General features: G+C 42.1%; 2 annotated features.

The window, feature by feature from the left end:
- Nucleotides 2,432-2,491: an enhancer, noted in NCBI's record as "active region_27419". NCBI's record gives its function as "activates an Ori minimal core promoter by ATAC-STARR-seq in GM12878 lymphoblastoid cells {active_cell/tissue: GM12878}" and the evidence as "EXISTENCE:reporter gene assay evidence [ECO:0000049][PMID:35858748]".
- Nucleotides 2,862-2,961: an enhancer, noted in NCBI's record as "active region_27420". NCBI's record gives its function as "activates an Ori minimal core promoter by ATAC-STARR-seq in GM12878 lymphoblastoid cells {active_cell/tissue: GM12878}" and the evidence as "EXISTENCE:reporter gene assay evidence [ECO:0000049][PMID:35858748]".

Here is a 3,602-nt window from a genome sequence, read left to right on the forward strand (position 1 = left end):
GATAAGTACGTATTAAATAAATTGATAAATGTAGGGCCTCACAGCTCTTTTACACATTTTGTACATAAATAAGAAAAGCCACTGGAAAATTATGAGCAAGTGAATATTTGTCTTCAAAGCAAAAAATGAGAAAAACAAAATTGATATTGATTTCTAAGACAGATTGGAATGAACCAGGTATGACCATGTTAGAGAAATAAAAATGTCCATTAGGCTGAGCATGGAGAATAAAGCTTTTCATTTTCCTCAGAAAACATTGCTCCAGACTCTCTCAAGGGGAAGAGGTTGGGAATATTAAATTGGAATTTTGAGGGGAGAAATAAGGGAATAAAAACAGTAGAGCACCACACAATCATGGGACATTAAATAAGAGGGAACAGAGAAATTAGATGGCTAGTACAAAGAAATGCCCATCATCCTTCACTTTATGAAGAAAGGAAAGCCTCCAATCCAAAGGTAATGGGCTAGCTTCCACTGTGATGTTCTCACTGATTTTACCAATATGATGCATAGTTAGCACATGTGTAAGCATCATTTCTGTTAACCACATAATGTAAGATTTTATCTAAAGATCTCTAAATCTAAATTATTTCCCCAGAAATATTCACACACACATAAAGAAAGCTATCTCCTAAAAAATGTTTTCTCCCTCACACTAGATATTTGGAAATAAATGACAGGAAACAAACAAGCATTCTACAGCATCAGAATTCTCAGATCTCAAGCAGGCTGAGGGCATCTCACAAACTGGACTTGCTTTAGGGCAATCTGTAATTTACCAAATAATGAGAATTCTCCTATGGCTGATTTTCCTAAAAACTTTACCTCAGCTCTCTATCACCCAAAGTCTACTTTAATCAGAAATAGAGTGGAATAGGCAATACTATTACTGAAGAAAATCAAAGATAAAATCAGTGAATAAAGATGTGTAAGGTATATGAAATCCTCTAATTCCTCCATATTTCTTGGAAATAAAAGAGCCTTCTGCTACAACATTGGGAAGAAAACTAAGATGATTCCACTAGGGCGCTTAAAGAACAGACTCAGATCCATCCATTTAGTCATTTGATAACGCTATCTGTATTAACTGAACCCTTGCTGTTTGCTGGAGACAAAGATTAAAGATTATCAACAAATCAGTGAATTAACAATGTATTTCTGAGAGAAAAAAAGCTTACCAAAACTTTGAATGAAGTGTGGCAAATATTATGTTAAAGGATAAATAAGAAACAATTTATGGACCATTGGATCAAAGAAGAGGGAAAATAATATAGCTCAGATTAAAGGAGAGGTCAGGTCAAGCTGTCACAAATCCGAAGGAGTTTTTAAATAATGGAAAGGTGGGGAAACACAGTTACAAGGGAGGAAAGAACAAAGTTGCCCATGCTGAGAGGATCACTTCCTAGTGCCTTTAAAAGCCAGCAGTCTGCACTTTAAGTTGTCTGGAGTGAGCCTTGCCTATGGGAGAGAATGACAGATAAAGTTAGAAAAAAAGACATGAGCCTGATTATGAAACGCCTTGTTTGCCAAGCTCAGCAATTTAGACTTTCCTGAAGGCTATGGAAGCCCATTGACAGAATTTAATTATGGGGATGCCATGATTTGATTTGCATTTAATATCCCTGGGAAAGATGAATTGCAGAGGAAAAATCTCTAAAAGCAGGGAGAACTTTCAGAAGGTTATTACAGTCGTCACAGCAAGAAGAGATAAAGGAATAAACTAAAGTAGTAACAGGCAGAAATGGAGAGGAGATGTTCTCCAAATAAAATATAGCAAGTAGATTCAACAGGATCTGATGATCAATGAGGGTGGGAAGAGAATTCGAGGATGAAGGGGCTTAGACAGATTCCAGTTTTCTGGTTTAAGTGACTGGATATAGTGGCATTGCTGATAAAGTAAGATAAAGAGTAGGTGTGGAGGGCAAGGTATGGAGTCCAGTGTTAACATGTAGATTTTGAGATGTTTGTAGAACAAGCAAATGAGAATGATCAGCCAGGAGCTGTGCATATGATTATAAAGTTAAGAAAAGAAATTGTAGTAGTGGATACAAATTTGAGAGTCGTCAGGTTTAGATAAGGTAATAGATAGTTAATACATAGAGTAAGAAAAGCAGAAGACCAATGATTGTACTCTGAAAAACACTAATATTTCAGGGCTGGATTAAGAAGGTAAACCATCAAAGGAGACTGAATGTGAGACACTAGAACATAAGAGAAACATGGAAGTCAGGGCAGGGGACAACTCAAAGTAGGAAAGAATGGTTCACAGGGTCAAATATTGAGAATGGTTAGGCATTACTTGACAATCATGACATTAATGATGACTTTGATTAGAGCGCTTTCCATGGAGTAGTGAAAAAAAGATGAGGAAGGATGGGGCCAATATGGCCAACTAGAAGCAGCTACAGTGTGTGGCTTTCACAGAGAAGAGTGAAAGGGGTGAGTAAATACAACACTTTTAACTGAAACTTCCAGATACTCCATTGGGACTGATCAGAGAAACAGCTCGACTCACAGAGAATAGAGAAAAGCAGGGCAAGGCAATGGCCCACCTGGGAGCAACACAGAGCCAAGGGAACCTCCCCCCATGCAGAGAAGTGGTGAGTGAATGTGCAACCCTGGGAAACCACACTTCTCCCACAGTTCTTTGCAAATTACATATCAGGGGATCCTCTTGTGAGCTCAAGCCACCAGGGCCTTCAGTCTGCCACAGAGCCGTGTGGAGTCTCAGCAGAGCAGTTGCTCAGGTGGGCATAGAGACCCAGGAGCTTTATATGCTCTGGCTCTTGGATCCCTGACAAAGTTGATTGCAACTCAGGCAAGGCAGGAGGTTCCTACATACCCCTAGGAAGGGGGCTGAATCCAAGGGGCTGAGCAGCATGGATCTGCAGGTCCCACAACCATGACACTTCACAGGATAGGACCCACTGGCTCAGAATTTGAGCCAGCCACCAACGGTGTTGCACCTACCTGGGATGGGATGTAGTTCCCAGGGAGAGGGGCAGGCTGCCATCTTTGCTGTTTGCATGACTCAGCTGTTCCAGCCTGTGGGCTTAGGAGAGTCAAAACTGACTTTCCTAAGACTGGGGGCACAAAGGGATCCCCCAGCACAGCACAGCACAGCTGCTCTACCAAAACATGGATAGACTGCTTTTTTAACTGGGATCCTGATCCATTCTGCCTCAGTGGGCAGGACCTCCCAACCAGGGCCTCCAGCCACCCCCTCTTGTATTCTCTGGCAAAGAGAGTTTTGATTTCCCAGGGGGAGAGGCAGGCAGCCATCTTCAGTGACTCAGCTGTTCCAGCCTGCAGGCTTTGGAGAGTCCAAGCTGACTGGGGCAGGAACAGTACCCCAGCACCACACAGCTGCTCTACAAAAGTGTGGCCAGACTGCTTCCTTAAGTGGGTCACTGATCCATTCCTCCTCACTGTGTGGGACTTTCCAACCAGGGCCTCCAGCCACTCCCACTCATGTTCTTTGGCTGACAGAGGTTTGAAAACTTCCTGGGAAAGAGCTCCTAGAGGGAAGACTGGACCACCATTTTTGCTGTTTCAGCAACTTAGCCATTCCAGCCCCCAGGCTTTGGAGAGCCCACGACAAC

This window comes from Homo sapiens, chromosome 8, assembly GCF_000001405.40.
Source record: "Homo sapiens chromosome 8, GRCh38.p14 Primary Assembly".
Taxonomy (NCBI): domain Eukaryota; kingdom Metazoa; phylum Chordata; class Mammalia; order Primates; family Hominidae; genus Homo; species Homo sapiens.